Source organism: Homo sapiens, chromosome 2 (assembly GCF_000001405.40).
Source record: "Homo sapiens chromosome 2, GRCh38.p14 Primary Assembly".
Lineage (NCBI taxonomy): Eukaryota > Metazoa > Chordata > Mammalia > Primates > Hominidae > Homo > Homo sapiens.
The window spans coordinates 151,169,645-151,192,615 of NC_000002.12; the positions used below are offsets into that span (position 1 = coordinate 151,169,645).

A 22,971-nucleotide genomic window follows, 5' to 3' on the forward strand; every position below is an offset into this window, starting at 1 on the left:
GTGTGAACACCACAGAGTGCGCTTACCCAAACCTAGATGGTACAGCCTATTACAGACCCAGCTATATGGCACAGCCTATTGCTCCTAAGCTACAAACCTGTACAGCATGTTACTGCACTGAATACTGTAGGCATTTGCAACACAGCAGTAAGTATGTGGTATCAAAACATATCCAAACACAGAAAAGGTACAGTAAAAAAAAAAAATGGTGTAAATAAAAAATGGTACACCTGTATATGGTACTTACCATGAATGGAGCTTGCAGACTGGAGGTTGCTATAGGTGAGTCAGTGAGTGAGTGGTGAGTGATGGGAAGGCCTAGGACATTACTGTCCACTACTATAGACTTTATGCACACTGTATACTTAGGCTACACTAAATTTATTTTTTTTAATTTTTTCTTCAATAATAAATTAATGTTAGCTTACTGTAACTTTTTTACTTTATAAATTTTTAAAGTTTTTTGAAATTTTTTACTCTTTTGTAATAACACAGCTCAAAACACACTTTATACAACTGTACAAAAATATTTTCTTTTTTATATCCTCATCCTATGAGCTTTTTTCTATTTTTAACATTTTCAATTCTTTTTTTACTTTTTAAACTTTCTTATTAAAAACAAAGACATAAGCACACATGTTAGCCTAAGCCTACCCAGGGTCAGGATCATCAATATCACTGTCTTCCACTGACACATCTTGTCCCACTGGAAGGTCTTCGGGTCAATAACACGCATGGAACTGAGGCTGTTTACAGTTAATTTTTTTTTATAACTAGGACACTCTAAAATTAACATAAAAAGTATAGTGTAGTTAATACATACATCAGTGACATAGTCATTTATTGTCATTATCAAGTATTCTGTATGTACATGATTATATGTGCTCTATGTTTATACAACTAGCAGCACAGTAGGTTTGTTTACACCAGCTTGTTTATGGCACGAGCATGTGACCAATTGTTGCACTACAACATTACCATGGCCAAGACTTCACTAGGTAATAGGAATTTTTCTGCTCTATTATAATCTTTTTTTTTTTTTTTTGAGACCGAGTTTCGCTCTGTTGCCAGGCTGGAGTGCAGTGGTGCGATCTGGGCTCACTGCAACCTCCGCCTCCCAGGTTCAAACGATTCTCCTGCCTCAGCCTCCCAAGTAGCTAGGACTACAGGTGCGTGCCGCCAAGCCCAGCTAATTTTTGTATTTTTAGTAGAGACAGGGTTTCACCATGCTGGCCAGGCTGGTCTCAATCTCTTGGCCTCATGATCTGCCCACCTTGGCTTCCCAAAGTGCTGGAATTACAGGCATGAGCCACCGCACCCGGCCTATAAACTTCTGAGACCAACTTTGTATATGTAGTCCATCGTTACCTGAAACATCGTTACGCAGCACATAACTGTACATATGGACAGTGAAAAGTTACTATAGCCAAGCAAATTAACATGTCCATTATCGCACATAGTTACCAATTTTTTCTTTGTGGCAAGAGCACCTAAAATCTATTCTTTTGACAAACATCCCGAGTACAGTATGGTATTATTCAGTACAGTCCTCATGTTGTATATTAGATCTCTAGACTTGTTCATCCTTCGCATCCTCTGACCTGTATCTCTCTCTCTCCCGCTCCTGGTAATCACTGTTTTATTCTTTATCTCTGTGTTGTGACTTTTTTAAAAAGAGTTTACTAATGTATCCATAGCTACACCACTGTTAAACAGATCCAGATGGACTTGTGCTCTTTTAAATACATTGTTATAGCAGATTATGTTACAATAAGGGTTCATTATATATTTAATTAGCATTCACTACACTCTATTTTTAGCTGAGTCCTATTATTTCCACACATCTCACCACACTAACATATATGCATCTGTTTTCTGGTAAAAACATACACCAGAAAAAAATGATAAAATCAGAAATTAATTTTACTTATGAAAGTCAAATGTCTTAAACAAAAGGTGGCCCAACCTCTACTGAACGTGTTTCCCACTCAAGCATTAGTTCTTTTCTAATGGAAGCTGTACCATCCTCAAATTCTCTTTTTTTTTTTCTTTTGAGATGGAGCCTTGCTCTGTCGCCCAGGCTGCAGTGCAGTGGTGCAATCTTGGCTCACAGCAACTTCTGCCTCCCGGGTTCAAGCGATTCTCCTGCCTCAGCTTCTCGAGTAGCTAGGATTACAGGAGCGTGCCACCATGCTTGGCTAATTTTTATATTATTAGTAGAGACGGGGTTTTGCCATGTTGGCCAGGCTGGTCTCAAACTCCTGACTTCAGGTGATCCACCCACCTCGATCTCCCAAAGTGCTGGGATTACAGGCATGAACCACCGTGCCCAGCCCTCAAATTCTTTTCTTGAATGCATCTGCTTTCATCTTCTGGGACAAAGAATTACAATGTAGTCACAAAGCAGGGAAGATTTAGGACATTCCCTGCCAGAATAAGTCAAATCAGACTTAAAGGTAAATATATTTCGTTTTCAAGATATTTTATGAGGAAAAAAATAAGTCATTAATTTTGATAGCTTTTAGTGTAAATAGGTAAACAAACAAAGCCCCCCATATATTATTAACCTTTTTATTAATGTACGTTGAGTTTAGTTGTACAGCTAAACTTTTCTAAAGTGTTTAAGCCAGCAAATCATCTTAGCTAGCCAGAAAAATATATTTGCCATATTCTCCTTCTTATCTATGTATAGTCAATAGCTAATTATCGGGTGTGGTGGCTATGCCTGTGATCCCAGCACTTTAGGGGGCTGAGGTGGGGGGATCAGTTGAGGTCAGGAGTTCAAGACCAGCCTGGCCAACATGGTGAAACCCCATCTCTACTAAAAATACAAAAATTAGGCGTGGAAGCGCGCACCTATAATCCCAGCTACTCAGGAGGCTGAGGAAGGAGAATCACTTGAACCTGGGAGGCAGAGGCTGCAGTGAGCTGAAATCGTGCCACTGCACTCCAGCCTGGGCAAGAGAGCAAGACTCTGTGTCAAAGAAAAAAAAATAGCTAATTAGCTGATGCTGGACTGTTTACATTCTGGATTATTGGTGGCAAATCTGATTTTTTATAGCTTTGCAAAGTCTTTTTAAATTAAAAAAAAAACTAAACTTTATTATGATTTGGAGTGCTCTTATTATAGGAAAGATGAACAAAGAGAGGTCCAATGCCTCAGAATGAGGCTCCCCTTGGTAAAAGGATTAACTCAAATTTAGGAACATGATATTAGTGGTTCACCTAGGGCCTTTGGGAGGAAGGGACTACATCTTACACGACGTTGATTCGAAAGGCAGAGTGCCAACTTCTTAATTTACCATCACAGGATATTCCCTCTGGAGGTGATCAGCAGGAGGCCAAGTTACAAATCAGAAAGATGTGGACCACCCTAGAATTTGGTGGGTGGGGGACAACAGTCTTGGTTAGCCTAACATATGGAAATTAATCTAAAGTATGAAAATGAATCTGAAGCAATGATTCTCAATCTTTAACTCAACATCAAAATCACCTAGAGGGCTTGTTAAAATACAACTCCTAGCATTTCCAAGTCAGTAGGTCTGTAATAAGACCCAAGAATTTGCGTTTCTACAAATTCCCAAGTGAGGCTATGCTGCTGATCCCAAGCCCACAACTGGAAGGAACTAGATAAACTGTATTTTTATCCATTTATGTGTATTTTTGTCTGCATAACTCATATTGGTGTTTAAAATTAATGTCCATCCTCCCCTGAACAATGGTGGATTCACAAATGTTTTACTCTCCAGATTAAACATTCTTCATCAGTCAACTATGGGATATCTTTACTTCATGTCATAATTCTCAAAAACTTAGTGTATACTACTTGTGCTTTAGATTAAAGCCTTCCTGGTGCAGTTATTTGGAAACATGCTATTCTCTCATTATAAATACATGTTTGCAATAGGTCTCTTAAACGTGCTACTTTGGCTGGTTATTTCCGCACATTGTATAATGATTATTGCTAGCTTCCACTTCAGTCTTCAACATTTTACTAATTTCAAGGACTAAAGATGCCATCTAGATCAGTAAGATTGTATTCATCTATAACTAACAAAAAACTTGATTTACAGAAGCTCTGACCTAAATGTTTATTTTTCCACGTAAAAAGAAATCTGAATTGAAACCCTCCAGAGCTACTGCAGCTTTTCAAATATGCGGTCAAGGACCCAGACTCTTGCATTCTGCTCTGCCTTCGGGTGAATGTTGGATTTGGTTATTTGATTGTTGCCTCATTGTAACAAAATGGTTGCAGCATCCCCAGACCCCAATCATTATTTCAGAAGGAAAGAGTAATAAAATAAGGAAGAAGAGTACTTACATCTGAAACTCAAAAGCTTGCCATGAAACCCTCAATTCAAATCTCTTTGGCTGGCACCATGATAAATGACCACTGCTAGTTGTTCAGAAGGATGATCATTTTTAGGTGGATATGTGACTGCCCCTCTCCCGCTAAAACTGGCATTCAATTAGGAAAGAGACAGGACAGATTTCATTTACCAATGTATGCTCCACTGCTACAGTTGGATATTTCACCCCGTCAGGCCTCAGCTCTCACTGCAATCAAGACAGTTCTGGGAGTCTTCAACCTAGACACAAGATCACCAGACTGCATCCTAAAGAAAGCAGGCAAGCACTCTTTTCTTCTTTTGCAAGAGCTGCAAATCTCACCAAATCATTAGCATGAAATATGCATGGCACCAGTGATGCCCAAAGTGCTGGACATTTGTGAACACATCTGTGAATAAAAGTATCTTCATCAAATATTCCTAAAGCAGCCTGCAGGCCCACCCACAGGTAGCCAGAACTCCAGAAAGAGTGTTTCAGTCATTCCCTTAACACATTGCACGCTAAGGTATTGCACTGGCTAATAAAAGGTTATGACACTGAATAAGACATCACCCCTAACCTCAAGAAACTTAGAGATGAACGTGAGAATGATCAGAGTAAGAAGCGGGATGACACACTGGAGCTTGTTCCTCTTATGTCCATTTCTTCTCCAACTACATCAGGGAAGCTGATCTCTGTATAAAGAAACCACAAGGTGATGTGCCTGGGTCATAATGAAACAGAATTCCTGGCCTATGGCAGCAGAGCATCACTGTCCAATCACTGTGTCCCCTCTATTCTCAAGAAAACTACCCTTCAAACCCAGTGTGGCATAGCAGCGAAAGGTTCAAGCTCTGGGGTTGGCCCCCTCTTTTCCACTTACCTGTAGGAAACTCAGGCAGGTGCTTAGCTTCTGCACCTTAGTCTTTCCACCTGAATATGAGCATGATGATAACAGTGTCAAACTTACAGAATTTGTCATAGATTTCAAATATATGTACAAACTTAGAACTGTGCTTGAGAGATAAGCACTAGAGGAGGATTAGCTGGTGCTTATAAACACCAAGAAACTGAGTTTCATCACCTATAGCACTACATGTTCACACTCTGCCCCACGAAGTGCCTGGACCTTCTTCATCAAAGTCCCCAAAATTCTTGCTCAGAAATTTCCACTGTAAAAGGAAGGCTGTGTTCCACATCCCACGGCCTGTGCCTAAGATCAATCTCAATGGGCATCAAATCTTTTATTTTTCAGAGTAGAAAGCCACAGGATGGGCTTTCTCACTTTTACAATAAAAGAGCTGGCAGGACCCAGGAAAACCAGTTCCTCTCTTTAGGGGAGAGTCTCAGATACAAAACAATTGAAGTAGAAACTCAACTTCATTAGAATTGTTTTGACCACCTGAGCTCATTTCTCCATGTGCTTAAACAATGCAAAATAAGCCACAAAGGACTCAGCCTGGCAGAAGCTGAAACATAAAGAGTATTATTTTAACCTTAAATTGGCAACTAAAAGACTCCCAACCAGGCTGTCCCAAGTAGATCTGGCACTCGCACCCTGAGATTTGGGATTTGGCTGCAGCTGGTCCCAAAAGGTTGCGCTAAGGCTTACGAGCCTCATCTACCCTCGTAACCAATGATGCTAACCAGGCTCGGTGCTCACCAGCTCACTCACAGACACAACCAGCTCCCTGAGGAGGGGGATTTTCACAGTCCAGGGCAGCCCAAGATGCAAACAGAAACATTTCCTTTTTACACTAACATATAAAGGAGTTCCTTGCAGTTCAGCATTCCAGGCAATGTGTTAGTCTCTTCCTTTAATCTTCCTGAGTCCAAGGCTGTGTGTGCCTCTCTCTCTAATCCCGATACCTAGTCCTGCATCTCAAGCCCTGTGGGTGTTCAATAAATATTTGCTAAATATATAAATGCCTCATAATCCAAAGGCCACCTTGGGTGTGATAACTGCTGGCTGATCATCTCTGAATGAGATCTTCCCGACTGCATCCCATTCCAAAATAGGATTAGAGACAGCCTCCACGGGCACACAAGAGAACTACAGCCAAGAGAATCTTGGCCCTGACTTCAGCATTCAGCACCGTGGGGACCTAGCCTTGGAAGCCTGACAGAGAATCTATACCAAGAGTCTTGTCTGATGAGGCCCTCAAGGATGCGGGAGGAAGGAGTGCCAGGTTGGCTCAGCTGTTTGGATCCCTTCGCACTATCCTCTTCTTCATTTATCAGGTTAATCACAGCTGCCTAAATCCTACTAAAATTGGGAAATTAAAGCACAGTAGCACTGTTCCATTATCCCATTAGGGATACATCCTATTCGGATTTCCATTCCAGTAGGCAGATAGAGGTGCTCATTCATCACCCTCAAAGGGTGCTCATTAATGCCTGGCCATCTCAATTGTTCTCCTTACCTTGAGAACAGATGTAAAGCTGCTACTCCCAACTATCACCATGATTGAATTCCCTCCAGCTTTGGGCGATTCTGTAGGTTTCCTCCTTCCAAAGCGAGGAAAGAGGTTTTCTTGATTCTCCTTTCTGAACACTTTCTATTCACTTAGGCACAAATCTCTCAGCCTTCCTACACATGGTGGTCTCAGCACGGCTGCTTTCTGCCTAGGTGAATATTTGACATTCATTTTGGCTGCTTCTATGTTTGGTGCATTCTTATCTAAAGAACTTGCTATCAAAGCTGAAAATAAATGATAGGTACTTGCTCTCCTAGCATTATTTATAGCCAGAATCAAATTTGTAACCAAGGTTTCAACAAAAAAAGACCCATCCACACTGGACTTAGGAAAAAATGGGGAGTGTTTCTCTGTCTCTCTCTCTCTCTCTCTCTCTCCCTCTCTATCATGAAGTGGCAGCAGAGGGCAGTGGCTACAAGGTTGAGTACTTGACACAAGAATTGGGGGTGGCGCGGGTGGGGAGTGTTTGTCAGCTTTGGCTGGGCTAAATGATTCTCTGGTGCAGAGTGGTACAAATGTTTGCATCTATGTCTTGGTGGCAGCTAAAAACCAGTTCTGACTCAGGGTTTGAGATGTTGATTACCTCTGGCTTGGCACTGCAGCCCTCCCGAAAATTCTGTAAGTTACTCTATATCCTTTGACAAACTCTTTTTCTGTTTAGTTACCCAGAGTCGAAGTCTATTGTTTCTAACTTAGAGCCCTGACTAACCCAGTAAATTTCCTGCAGAACTGATGCTTTTCCCCAAATTCTCCTCTCATAATAGTGATGGCTTTGGACCCCCCGTGTAAAGGTGAGTGTAAAGCTTTATTCTGGATACAACTTTCAGACACCCAGATGGGCACATTGAGATGGTTCCAGTGAAGCCCAAGCTCACCCAGCTAGTGAGTAGAAGAGTGGAGACTTGGACGCAGGTTTTCTGACTCAAGTCATATACATTTTTTTAGAGACAGGGTCTCACTCTGTTGCTCAGGCTGGAATGCAGTGGTGTAATCATAGCTCGCTGTAGCGTCAAAGTCCTGGACTCAAGTGATCCTCCCACCTCAGCCTCCCAAGTAGCTGAGACTGTAGGTGTGTGACACCACACCGGCTAATTTTTTTTTTTTTTTTGTAGAGAAGGGGTCTTACTATGTTGCTCAGGTTGATCTCGAACTCCTGGCTTCAAGTGATCTCCCCTGCCTCGGCCTCCCAAAGTACTAGGATTACAAGTGAGAGCTATTCTGTTTTTCTCAGCAAAAAGAAACAAATCCCTCTTGAGTTGTCAAGCCAACTTAAGTAAGTGCTGTACTTTACATTCACTTGTAACAACTTTAATATTATACTAAAAGTAGGAGCTACACATCATTGCTCAAGGAAAACCTTACATGTTGTTTCTCATTGTCACACAGTGTAGATCATCTATAATACCACAGTTTTGCAGGCCACCCAAGGCAAAGCTGGTGCTACAACTCCAAAACCTTTTCTCACGCGTAGCTAATTGGCTGCTTCTGTGTAGTGTGCATCTGCGTGTCTGCTCCCACCCATGGCGTTATATTCTTATTAAGAATCAGTTGTGTTTGTTCTGAAACCTAGTTAGGACCATTGTACTTGTTATTGCAAATTCATAATTGAATAAAATATGGGGAAAGCCAATGAAATACTAATATTTTTTTAATTTATTGTTTTGAAAAGATTCAATAGAGGTAAGTAAGTAAAACTTATGAGGAATTAGGAAGTTTACAACCGTCCAACTGTAAAGTCATAAAAGTAAAGAAAGATTCTGTCCTCAGAATGCTTTTCAATGGACTTTCAATTCTCAATTCACATTCTTGTTCTGATTCTTAAAGTTCTCCATTTAAAGACACTGACACTGGCAATTATGGAAGATGCGTTATGTACATAGTTTATGCAACAAAGAAATAAAGGTATTCCAATCAGCACAACAATACTTAGAGAACGCCCTGAACCTACCACATCGTATTGAAGAGTGAATATGCATATGCATGCTTTAAAGTACACGTAAATGTAATGCGTAAATTATTATGCATCCTTTTTTGTGACTCTCCACTTTTAGCTGTCAGTAGATTAGCTGGGTCCAGTTGCATCAGATAGGAAACCAGCCACTTTTCTTTTTTTGCAGTCACTCTTCTGGAAGAGAAATCCACCTGTTCTGGATGATGTAGTTATGGGACAGACTTAATTACCTGTCGTGTGTCTGGGTGCTGTTGATCTACCTTTCTAGACCATTTTTGCTATGTACACCAGCTTCTGTGAGGTGGGCTCTTCCTCCCGTTCATAGAGAATTGGGAATCCATTGCTTGCAGAATTCTCAGAGACACAGCCGGGCACAGTGGCTCATGCTTGTAATCCCAGCACTTTGGGATGGAGAGGTGGGTGGATCACCTGAGGTCAGGAGTTCGAGACCAGCCTGGCCAACATGGTGAAACCCCTGTCTTACTAAAAATAAAGAAATTAGCTGGGCATGGTGGCGGGTGCCTGTAATCCCAGCTACTCCAGGAGGCTGAGGCAGGAGAATCACTTGAACCCAGGAGGCAGAGGTTGCAGTGAACCGAGATCATGCCACTGCACTCCAGCCTGGGCGACAAGAGTGAAACTCTGTCTCAAAAAAAAAAAAAAAAAAAGAATTCTCAGAGATTTAGCACTCTTAAAGAAATCATCAATTTATGTTTTGTCATATGCAGGAAGATAGTCCTGAGACAGCACTAAGTGATGTGAAGTTTCATGTCCAGATCAATCCAAATATGCCATGTTATAATCTAGAATTTTTAAAATAGTGGCAAGTTTTATGATCTTCTATAGATCATAGTAGAGATTGGATAAGGAGCATGCCCAATTTCCTACCAGTGGCTATTTGTCATGCAAGTACGTGCTCATTCAGAATTTTCCTTCAATGTAATAGAATAATCCAGCCATTCTTTTATATTCGAAAGTTATTAATTAAGCAACTATTATGTGTTAGGAACTATTCTAGACATTGAGGCTACAATGATGAGCAAAATAAAGTTCTGCTCTCATGGATCCTATATTCTAGTAATTTATCCTCCCTACCAGTGAGCTCCTAGAAAATACAAATTGTATCTAAATCATCTTTGTATTTCTAGCACTTAACATGGTGTCTGACATTTTACCCAATCACAGCATTAAAGAGGTAGAAAGTCTTTGCAAGCTGTATATAAACATTCTGAATCTATGAACACACATTGAAATTAATCATTTTGTCTTCTTCCTACAACAGCCACTATTGGAACTTAATATTTACAATGCTATTTTTACTTTTCTGGTTCATGGATTATTTTAGTAGAGAAATTTTAATTCAGCAAATATTCGAATGCCTGCTTTGTGCCAGGCATTGTGCTAGAGACCTAAATGGCTTTAGGATAGAACAGCATCCAATCTTCACACTGATTTCTCTCCTGAAGAAACAGAAACAGATGTTCTCTTTTAAACCTGCCTGCACAGCCTAGACTTCTCACAGCTTAGGAGAAGAAAGTTATCATACAATTCTCAGTACTCCTTTGCCTATCACTCCCAAAAGAAAGTTATTTTCTGGAAGCAGTAGAAGAAAAGTACCTTGTCTCAATGAAATCTGATCATTTGTTTGGGGATATTGTTTTCTAGAGCTGGCAACTGTGCAATCTGCTTGTGGAACTGCAGAAATGATGTGGGCAAGGCTGAGGAGAGGAAGGTTCTGCTTAGCCACACTCCTCCTGCCCTTCCTGGGCTCCCAGACAACTCGCCAGCAGAGTAATAAAGATCTTCTCCACTTTCTGCGAGCTTTATATGGAAGTACTCGTCTACCCTTTAATAGGTAAAGATAACTGCAGTTTTAAAAAAATTATTTAAAATATTAATATTAAAATTATAATAATTTATCACTATAATAATGAAATGTTATTAAAATATTATTTTAAAATATAATAAAGTTATTATACTCAATGTTGGTCTAAAAAAAAGTAGACCTCTGGGAGTGTTAGGGGTGACAACTAAAACTTGCTAAAACTTTCAGGAGGTGACACATACCAAACACCCAACTGAAAAACTGTAATCTACAGTAGATCATTCAGATTTTCCAAGTATGTAAATAAAATACACTCACCTGGCTGGGCGCAGTGGCTCAGGCCTGTAATCCCAGCACTTTGGGAGGCCGAGGCAGGCGAATCACGAGGTCAGGAGTTCAAGACCAGCCTAGCCAACATGGTGAAACCCAGTCTCTACTAAAAATACAAAAAAAAATTAACTGGGCATAGTGGCAGGCGCCTATAATCCCAGCTACTTGGGAGGCTGAGGCAGGAGAGTCGCTTGAACCCAGGAGGCGAAGGCTGCAGTAAGCCAAGAGTGTGCCACTGCACTGCAGCCCGGGCAACAGAGTGAGACTCCATCTCAAACAAAAAAAAAAAAACCACTCACCTAATGACAATGGAGAATACATTTTATTGACATTTCTCCAAACCCATACAAGGTACAACACCAAGAGTGAGCCCTAATGTAACTGGCGACTCTGGGTGATAATTACACATCAATGCAGGCTCATCAGTTGTGACAAATGTACCACTTCAGTGGCCGGTGATGATGATGGAGAAGGCTACGTGTGTTGTGGGGGCAGGGGATATATAGAATATCTCTGTTCCTTCTGCTAAATTTTGCTGTGAACCTAAAACTACACTAAAAAATTAAGTCTATTTAAAAACAACACTCTGATCTTTAAAAATGTCTTCTTCAAACATATATTAATATTTATGTAGCCATAGCAGCATAAAAGCCTAATGCTCTCAGAGAAGACTAGGGGTGGAGAATTCATTTTAAATGTCTTTAACTGGTGTAATAATCATCAAGAGGATGAATGGAGAAAAGTGCAACAATGTATTTATCAGAAAAGCTGAGAATTCAGTCTCAGAATAAACTCTGACATCTATGTCTGTTTACCTGAGCCTTTAGATGGCTCGCCCAGTTTGTAATCTTTCAGAAACAAAAGAGCAAACAGTGAAAAATCATTCATGCCCTCTGGATAACTGCCAGCCCATTTCTAAAGTACCTCACTACAAGGAGCTAAGTATGTGGACAAAGAGAAATTAAATGGGATTTTTTAAATGCTTTCTTTAAAAAACTGAATGTGCTTTTCCATTTTGTGCTATTTTTCTTCTCTATACGCACTGCTTCTCCTGGATGAAGCTGTTACATAACTGCTCTTGCGGAGAGGAGATCATTTCCTGGCCCCAAAGGAGTTCTCGGAATACTGAGAGAACATGTTACAAGATGGACCCCAAAAGAAGAGCATCTGGTTTCCCTAAGTATAATGCTCGCAGCAGAGAAATCACCATAAATAGCTTTAACAGAGACCAAATGTGTCCGTTTCAATCCAGTGTTTTATCACCCACCAAGGGAATTTATCTGGGTGAAGGGAGAGACGGGGAGTGAAGTCATTTAGCAGGGCATGGTTCATAACTCTTTTATTAGGACCAACAGGTCAAGGTCTTTAATAGCTGTAAGATGGAAAGTTAAAGTCATTGTTATCCAACCACATTTAAAGAATGAAAACATAATTGAGAGAGAAGAAAACTAGTTCCTCCGAAGGTTAGGGAAAAGAGAGAGGACTGTATTTAAAAAGTGATTTGGAGAATTAGAGAGGGAGGTTGTATGTGCTTTTTTACTCAATCAGAATATACTTGGAAAAAATCATAACTAAAATTTCCTGAGTAGTACTATCTTCTTGATCCTGATACATTTGGGATTTTCTTACTGTCTCCAAGGAAATGAGTTGAGGATGCTCATCTTAGGAGAATTAGCATGTACTAAAAGTGAAATAACAGGCTTCTGTCATAGGAGAAATATAACCACGGAACACACTGATTTGCTGCGAATTAACAAAAACCGTAACAAACAGTTGGTAATTCAAGCACATGTCTATGCAAAGAATATATGCATATTTAAGGATTATTTATTTTATTTAAATAAGAAGAAGCAGCCATATGGCATGGAACGGATAAGATATTTTAGGGCACTGTAAAAGGTGCATCTCACTCTATTTATGAGGAGGTTAGGAGAAACTCCACAAATAAAACTTAATGGATTGAATTCTGGTGAGACACGGTGACTCTCTCAAAGGGAAATTCAGACATTCCATGGAGAGCCTGTAGGATTAACTAAATTGCTGGCATTTTTCCTTGTCAGGATGGCAGAAAACACCAATGTACCACTACTGCTGGAGGCTTTGCCGTATCTCCTAGCATCACCAAAATCCTTTTGCTTTGGAAAATTAATCTGAACTGTATGAAATTTGACCACAGTATCCACTGGAAGAATCTATTTTAACTATCCTGAATCCACTCTCCAGAGAAGTCCTTACTTGTTAGATGTCTTATGGACCAAGTTGTGAGTACTTCAATTTAGATAACGTGGCATAAATGGAATAATTAAAAAATAGAGCCTGGCACATGGGCAAAACTGAGACGTTTTTCTTATTTGTCTTCCAAACTATTCTTTTCAGATCTGATCATGTGCAGACAATTTAAATCAGAAATAGCTTGAGTGTTTCCCCTGCTGCAGTCCTACCATTCTTATAATGAAAGAGCTAACTGCCATCTTCATCAGCACATTACAGCATGCAAACAATCCAAACCTTAGTACAGCTGATTGATTGAGCCACTAAAGGCATCAAAATCCTCTAATTGAGCTGTCTGAACAATATTAAACGCCCACAGAGATGTGGTGGGAAAAGAATTCAGACCTACCTCATCAAAAATAAACCCTGTTTAATTGCAATCAGCAGCTTCCTTGCCTTTGTTTCATCCTGTCATCCACTACATCCACCACCATGAAGTCCTATCTCTGCCTTGCCCAGGCAGAATTGTTTGATTTATTGACGGCTCAATACCGTGACCAGTATTAGGTACACCCATATACTTATTACTGAGCACATACCTCTAACACCATTTTACTCTCTGGCAGCTGCCTTTGATCTCTGCTTCAAACCTGCATTTGTTGAATAACCAGGCTCTCTGACCTCTACCACATCTGACATTTTCCCCTCCAGGTCATCTTGCCGTCCTTCATTGCAGATGTCGACTATAATTTATCCCTTTTGCTAACACCACAGGAAACCAGGTCCCTCTGAGGCCAATACCAGCATCCTGAGCTGATTGTGGTTATAATAAACTGCTGCCCACCATCCATCCACCCACCTCCACTGGCTCTTCCCCTCCTCCTCTTTGAGCTGCCAGTCATTGCAAGAGCTCATTGACTGCCTGCGTGTGTCTACTTATAATAAAGTCATTACAGTGAACGTTGCTTTTGTTAAAGGGAAGCCACACTGTTACAACTGGGTTTAAAGGATATGTTTTCTCCTAAGAATGACAGTCTCTGATGGGCGTTCTTCCTTGTCACTTTGAGAGTGGCATGAGGAACAGTTGGAGGGGATGGAAATGTCCTATATCTTGCTTAGGGCTGTGGTTACCTAAATACATACAAAACTCAATGAACTCTATACTTTAAAATATACCTATTATTGCCTAAAAAGTACACTTCAAAAAGGTGATTGGAAAAAGCCATAGACAGATTGATAGACAAAACGAAGCATCAGCTAACTGCAAAACCAAACTCATCCAAATAACAAACCATCTCCAATTTTCTAACTTTACACCTAGGATCCAATTCCCTAAACTGAATATAATTTAGAGTTTTTATTTCATTCAGAGATTGTTAATGCAAAATTCAAAATGGTTGACATGTCATCTAAGCCCTGCCCAGTGTTTGATGAGACAGCATAAGCTATTACCTTGACACAACTTTAGGAAAAGCAGGCAGCCTAATTTCCCCTATATACATATGGCTGGAGGCAAGAAATCTGATTTCAACAGAGAATTTCAAATAATCGGCATCCTCCACAACCCATATAAAGTGAGGCCAGGTTTGGAGGGATTCCAAAGCCAGGGGTAGCAAGAAGCCTTAGGCCAAACAGATGATTTAAAAGACATGTGAAGAAAAATTTCAAATATAATGTTTATAGAGCAAAATAACATTTGTTTTTTTCATTGTGCAAGGATATCTTGAAGGGGAGAGCCAAGCTCAGTTGCTGCTTGTAAATCAAAATAACCCTTTCATTTTTACCTAACAAAGACGAGAAAGGGGAGAGAACAAGGTTACAAGGTGATATTCTTACCTAGTGAGAATACTAAAAGGAATGCTGTTGTTGTCAAAATGTGTAAGGTCTATAAATCATATGGGTTAGACTAACAGGACACACAATTAAGCATAATATTGGCAAAGCATGATTTTTTCCTTGACAAGGATGAATTGCTCAATATAAACCCTGGGAAGAACTAATATGAACAAAGAAAAAAAATAAAGAGAATCCAGAATAAGGTAGTTTCTGAATATCAGATATTACAGAGCAAAGGAAAAATACCATAAAATATTTCGTGCATGATAAAACCTTGCTTATTCAAATTTTTGGTACATAAGAATGGCACATATACCGCAAAATAGAAGGTGATTAAGAAATAAGTTATTTCATTTTAGAGGGTAGTCACACATATGGACCCTACACACACATACACACACACACTTTTACACTCCCTGGTCTTAACACTCTTCACACTCCAGCTTATTGTTCACAGTGTAGATCCCAGCTGAAGGCTGGTGTGGAAGAAGCCAGGCAACAAAAGATGTGCATATGGGTTTAAGAATTTTCACTGTATTTTTAGGATGGATGTTGACAAATGACTTTAAAGTAGCTCAAAGAGACAGGCATCATTTCTTGAAAAATGATGCTCCCTGGTTCATATAAGCTGACATATTATAACATTTATTTTGGTTTAACAAGCTGACAGCCTTCCAGCTGTAAATTAAGAGGCATTTCTACAACAGCTGCACTGAGTCTTTATCAAGGCAGTTCTTGACCATTCAAGAGACTGCTGCCTAACCAGTCAAGTCAAGAGATTCGATCTAATCAAGTACATCATATCCTTTCAAAGGTTTCAATAAAAAATACTTCCATGAGTTAGCATTTAAATTCTGAAACACTAAAACATTTAGAAATATACCAACTCTCTAGTATACTGCAAGAGGTAGGTGTTATTATATCATCATATAACAGACAGAAGAGCTGTGGTTTAGAGAGAGTAAGTAATGGGCATAAAGTCACATGTAATAAACAGAGGAGCCAGATGGATCTGACACCTAAGGCCATGGCAGCTGTAGGAGGCAAAATTGAATTTTGGTCACCAGTAGGACACCTATGTAATTAGGACATTAAAAACACTAAAAGATAAAACCTTGTATTCAGCTGGGCGTGGTGGCTCACGCCTGTAATCCCGGCACTTTGGGAGGCTGAGGTGGGTGGATCACTTGAGACCAGGAGTTCCAAGAGTAGCCTGGCCAACATGGTGAGACCACCCCCGTCTCTACTAAAAATACAAAAAAATTAGCCAGGCATGGTGGCGCGCACCTGTAATCCAAGCTACAGGGGAGGCTGAGGTGGGAGAATCTCTCGAACCCAGGAGGCGGAGGTTGCAGTGGGCTGAGATGACGCCACTGCACTCCAGCCTGGGCGACAGAGCAAGACTCCGTCTCAAAACAAACAAACAAAAAACCTTGTATTCATTGAGAAGAAATTGTGTATTGCATTATTTTTTCACTTGAGAAGCTGGTATTTCAAAATGGTTAAGAACACAAACCAGTACGCTGCTCACGCCGATCCCGCTCCGCTGGTTCCGCACGCTCCGCACACCAGCCTGCGCGCACCATGGGGCCACCGTTCAGCAGCTGGAAGGAAGATGGCGCCTGGCGGACAGCAAAGGCTTTGATGCATACATGAAGAAACTAGGAGTGGGAATATCTTTGCGCAATATGGGCGCAATGGCCAAACCAGACTGTATCATCACTTGTGATGGCAAAAACCTCACCATAAAAACTGAGAGCACTTTGAAAACAACACAGTTTTCTTGTACCCTGGGAGAGAAGTTTGAAGAAACCACAGCTGTTGGCAGAAAAACTCAGACTGTCTGCAGCTTTACAGATGGTGCATTGGTTCCGCATCAGGAGTGGGATGGGAAGGAAAACACAATAACAAGAAAATTGAAAGATGCAATCAGTGGTGGATTGTGTCACGAACAATGTCACCTGTACTCGGATCTATGAAAAAGTAGAATAAAAATTCCGTCATCACTTTGGACAGGAATTAACTACAAGAATGAACAAGCCCCCAGTTCAATAAGCAAATCTCCATACTGCTTTTTTTTATTACTGTTTTCAATTATCTTTATCACAAACATTTTACATGCAGCTATTTCAAAGTGTTGGATTAATTAGTATCATCCGTTTGGTTAATAAATATATGCGTTTGTGCTAAAAAAAAAAAAAAAAAAAAAAAAAGGAAAAGAAAACAGACTATGTAGCCAGATTACCTGGTTTCAAATTCCAGCTCTGGCACTTGCTAGCTGTGTGACCTTAGGCAAGTTACTTAACTTGTCTGTGCCTTGGTTTCTTCATCTATGAAATGGGGATAATAATACTACTTAATGCATAAAGTTTTTATAAGGGCTACATTTATGTGTAGTAATGGTATTGTGAGTATCTTTCTTTAAAGTTCTTTATGTTTTTGAGAAGCACATTGAACTACTTAGAGAAAAGTGTCTATGATATCAAGAAAGTTGGGGTACAAGGGTATAGACAAAATTGTCCATGAGTGGATAATAGTTAAAAATGAATTGTCAAAAAAACTACAAATATTAGCTGGGCATGGTGGTAGACTCCTGCAGGTAAGTCCCAGCTACTTGGGTGTCTGAGGTGAGAGGACCACTTGGGCCTAGGAGGTTGAGGCTGTACAGAGCCATGATGGCAACACTGTACTCCAGCCTGGGTAACAGAGCAAGACCCTGTCTCAAAAAAAAAAAAAAAAAAAAAAAGAATTGTGCGTATATAGAGGTTCATGTACTATACATACACAGGCACCCCTGTGTAGTTTTGGAATTTTTTATAACAAAAAGTTTTTTAAATATTTTATGTAAAACATTTAAAATTATACCTGGAACATAGTAAATACCATATAATAGCTATGATTATTACAGCAAAATTCCATTTTTATATGGATCTGTATCCATATAAAATAGATCTGTATATGGATCTACTTTAATGCTATTTACATATAGCCCCTTTTTTATTTCTAGGACATAATTAAAAATAAGCAATAGAGATTTATTCTTTACATCTATAGTTGGCTTAGAAGAAAAGACAACTGAAGTCATACAAGGAACTGTTATCAAAGAAGATGGAAGGCTCATCCATCATTTCGATCACGTTGAGTTGAAGAATCTGAGTACAGTATAATAGAGAATAAAATGTAGTCAGGTAATAAAAATTAATAATATTTCACATGTATTGAGGAGATATTATGTGTGAGGTACAGTCACAAGTGGTTTCACATTTGTTACCTCATTTAATCCTCTTATCCACCCAACCTATGAAGTAGGCATCATAATAATTAGCTCCTTTTTTTTTTTTTTTTTTTTTTTGAGACAGAGTCTTGCTCTGTCGCCCAGGCTGGAGTGCAGTGACATGATCTCGGCTCACTGCAACTTTCACCACCTCCCCGGTTCAAGCAATTCTCCTCCCTCAGCCTCCCGAGTAAGTGGGATTACAGGCGCCTGCCACCACACCCAGCTAATTTTTGTATTTTTAATAGAGATGGGGTTTCACCATCTTGGCCAGGCTGGTCTTGAACTCCTGACCTTGTGATCCACCTGCCTTGGCATCCCAGAGTGCTGGGATTTCAGGCGTGAGAAAACATTGGCCAAGAGAGGTTAAGTAGCTAAAACCTGCTACATAAGACTGACACTAATGCTATATTTTTCTTTCCCAAACATCACTGGCTCAGGAACTGAGAGGTAACAAATCTTTACCAGGCAGACAAAAAAATAACATGCCCATCATCCCTCAACCAGCTAGTTACTGTAGGAGCCAACACATCCAAGCCAACAGTCTGACTCCAGAGCCCTGACCCTCAACCACATCACTATAGAAGACCTGGGTTCAAGTCCTGACTCCACTAAGGTTTTTAATCTTGTGCAAATTGCCCAACTTTTAGGTCCTCCTCAATCCTTTCACTTGCTTTGTTCTTCCTGGGTGTTTTGCCTGAAGCTATAGATGGTGCCCTTTCAAAGGCCTCAGCATCTCTGGGTTCCAGCAACAACCACAACGAGTCAGGAAAAATATCTGCAAACTCAGGATCACCAAATAACTGTCGTTAGGTACTGCCAGGGATTGCTTGTCAACACATGGCTAAAGCAGTTGCTGTCGACCCTACCTGCACACTAGAATCACCAAGGGAGCTTTTAAAAATCACCAATGCCCAATCCTACTCCCAAACCAATTAAATCAGAATCTCTGGGGATGGAGTCTGGGCACTAGAATTTTTTTTTTTAAGTTACCCAGGTGATTCTGTTGAATCCAGTGTTGACAGCTGCTGAGCTAAAAGATGAGAAAACCCATAGATAGGCACGGAGATTTAATAGAAGCCAAAAACCTAAATATTCAAGTAAATCTTTCAAAATGATGCTTCCCCATATTACTATACTCTATATCTGCTTATTTTTAAAATCCTAATTCCAAAATAAGTATACTATTCACAAATTTACAAGGTATGCATACATGTTTATGCACATATACACAAACACAAATACACATATGGTAAGTATGCTTGTGTAAGTGCATTATTTTTATACCACTACAGCCATGTATGCTATAGATCTGGTTTGGGGATAAAATTAGCATCAAAATATCAGTAGTATTTCCATTCTACCACCATACACACACACACACACACACACACACACACACACAGGCGCGCGAACCACTTCCTGCTAGTTCTCTCTAAGGCTGGGATCTCACCTTTGCATCTTTCTAAAATTGAGGAACACAGGAAGTCATTTCAGCTGCTGACAAATGAGAATAACTTGACTCTAGGTATAGTCATATACTTTAATCAAGGAAGTAAATGCCTTAAATTTCTGCTGGTTTCCTATTGTCATTAAAATTACAACATCTTAATTTTTATAGCAACCACTGTTGGATTTTTATATAGATGTGTATTTAATAATTTTTCCTGTGTCACACAAAGAATGTAATGTGGACAACTGAAAGGGAAAAAGGCAATGGTATTCAGAGGTTTAAAATAAATTAAACATTCCTTACAGTTTTTTCTGGATGACTTCCCTCCATAAATTATATCTTTTGCACTATGCCATTTGTTTCCCCCAACTATTTCTATATGATGTAATAATTATATGCTCCATTGAACTCAAAAGCGTTCGTGAAAGGTTAGGTGAACAGAACAAATATAAGAAAATGTAAAGAAAACGCTGCAGTTTGGTCTTTGTTGGTACATAAAAAAAAATTTTAAGTGAACAGAAATTTCATGGAAAAGACAGAAGACACCATCATTCTGTTCAGGTTACATTCTACACAAAGCTCAACGTTAAGAAGACATTTAAGCCACTTAAACATGGTGTCTCCTTATTACTCATGTCTCCTTTTCCTTGCATAAGCAATGAAGAAGCACACAATGATATTAGGAAAATGTTTAAATATCATTCTTGTAGCACATAAGAACAAATGGATAATTTACACTATAAAAATTAAAGATAGGCCGGGCGCGGTGGCTCACGCCTGTAATCCCAGCACTTTGGGAGGCCGAGGCGGGTGGATCATGAGGTCAGGAGACCGAGACCATCCTGGCTAACAAGGTGAAACCCCGTCTCTACTAAAAATACAAAAAATTAGCCGGGCGCGGTGGCGGGCGCCTGTAGTCCCAGCTACTCGGGAGGCTGAGGCAGGAGAATGGCGTGAACCCGGGAAGCGGAGCTTGCAGTGAGCCGAGATTGCGCCACTGCAGTCCGCAGTCCGGCCTGGGCGACAGAGCGAGACTCCGTCTCAAAAAAATAAAATAAAATAAATAAAATTAAAGATAAAAATAAACAGGATTTAAGCTGGGCATGGTGGTGTGCACCTGTAAGTCCCAGCTGTGCAGGAGGCTGAGGCAGGAGGATTGCTTGAACCCAGTAGTTCAAGGCTGCAGTGAGTTATGATCATATCTGTGAATAGCCACTGTACTCCAGCCTGGGCAACATAGAAAGACCCTGTCTCTAAAAAAAAATGAAATACAATAAACAGGATTGGATTATCTGTCCTCATGGACCTATGAGCAATTCAAATCTCAACACATCCTTTACAACATGTCCAGTTTGTCTTAGTATCTTAGATGTTTAAATCTGAAAAAGCTAATAAAGCTTACTAGTGCAAAAGCCAGTAGGTGTCAAGAAAACCGCAACAACCTATGTACAGATTCAGCTTTCAGATAGCTCTTCCACCTCCTCCATTAGTAAGGTAAGGAATGGATGCTGCTGTGTACCTCCCTGCACTCTGCACATACTGTGCTTTAGGAACCACTTTTCAAGGTTGCCCTTGGTATTCTTTTTACTACATCAAAACTTGGCATTTGAAAGGAGGGGCAGATGAGAAAGTAGGAAAAGAAAATATACTATGATTTGCCCTGGACCTTAGCTCCCCTATGAATAGCCCAGTATACTCCAAAAGCATTTATGCTGAATTTCTAAATACATTCCTAATAGCATAAGAACTAAAATTATCTCATTGCCAAACAAAAGGCTTCTGCATTGAAATGTGACAGCTCGCTGCTCAGGCAGCTTGTTGCCAGAAGGATACACACAATTTCCAGCAGAAAATTGGTTTCAGGATTTCACCCAATAGTCCAGAAATAAAATAAACTTCCCTAGCTCTTTGCAACAGGGCAAGGCCATTGGGATTCACCCCTGCTCCATTCAACAGAGAGCCCTGAATTGCCTTCCAATGTAAGAATTCAAACAAACTAAACCAGATCATGTCTCAAATGCTATAGACCAGCATTGCATTCTGAGGCATTTCTATTTCTTCAGCGATTTTATTCACAGAATTGCTCATGACTTCAGACAGTATTGCTTAATTAAGCCCCAGTAGAACTGAATTTAAGCTTTCACCTGAGAAAATATATTCCACCATTACTCAAGAATGCAGTTTGCCACTACTGGACATGACATGAATCGTTTAGCTCTACTAAATAGAAGTTTCCCAAAAGTTCCAAGCCATTTTTTGCCTTCATAAAAGCACAACACATGTCCTTGATAGTTAGCATGTGAATATGAATAGAGAAATTCATGATTTGGTGGCATTTTCAAAAATGGACTTTCAAAATTATTTTCGTTTTTTAAAATTGCACTACCAGATGCAAATTTAGTGATCATTAAGCCTACTCTTCTCATTTTACTGATTAGAAAGGAGACCCGGAAACACCAACTGATTGGTTCAAATCAGGCAGCCATCTAAGGTAGAACCAAGACCAAAATCCAGCTTTCCTGCTTCCTTATGTCTCTTTTCAAAGGAACAGAAAAAGGACATGAAAAACAGAAGGTCTAGAGAATGCTGATTCTCTCATGAAAGACACGGCCTCCCAGGTGACTGGCTCCTATAAGCCTGGCAAAAGCTGCCAGGGGAACAGTCAGTTGTCCATCTGAACGGAAGGAGGCAACTTAAAAGATGAAAGAATCATGAAAGACCCCTGCTCCAGCCCCAGCCCCCCATAAAACTGTTAAGTTTTTTAAGTTTTATAGGCATATTTGGCTTTAAAGAAAATCTGAAACATAAAATCAAAATTTATAGATCAGATATGTCTGGAAGCACGGTTTATGTTACAAAAAAATGGAATTTTTGCTTTACTAAACTCTTCACTACAGTTTTCTCTGAAATAATGACTTCCCTTATGATTAATAAATATCCCATTCAGGTGCAATATCAGGGCTATTTCTATGGCATTAAGCAAGGTACACCTCTGCACTGTTGACTCCACTAAATTTAGCTTACTTTCTTATTGTAATTGGGAGGAAAACTCATAGTGTGTGATGCCCACAGACAATGGTCTGCTGGTGCCAGGTCATGCCCACTCACAAGAACCTATTGTGGGCCTGTCTTCCCAACTCTGCATTCAGTGGTTAAGGGGTCTGATAGTTGGTCCTTGGTGGATGAACACAGTAAGGAATGGAGAAGGCATGAGACTGTGAAGCAGGTTCGCTGTGTACCAGTTGCCAACTTGTCTGAGTCTAGTGACAAAACACATTCATATGC

The 22,971-nt window shown here is 40.0% G+C and overlaps 1 long non-coding RNA gene and 1 pseudogene across 1 annotated transcript; one reads left to right on the forward strand and one right to left on the reverse strand.

The window, feature by feature from the left end:
• Positions 1–653: 653 nt before the first annotated feature.
• LOC107985826 (uncharacterized) lies at positions 654–5,014 on the reverse strand. Its single transcript, XR_001739219.1, has 2 exons — positions 4,501–5,014; positions 654–783 (listed from the first exon to the last, which is right to left on the reverse strand). It is a non-coding gene; the product is annotated as an uncharacterized LOC107985826 (long non-coding RNA).
• Positions 16,517–17,149, forward strand: FABP5P10 (fatty acid binding protein 5 pseudogene 10; annotated as a pseudogene).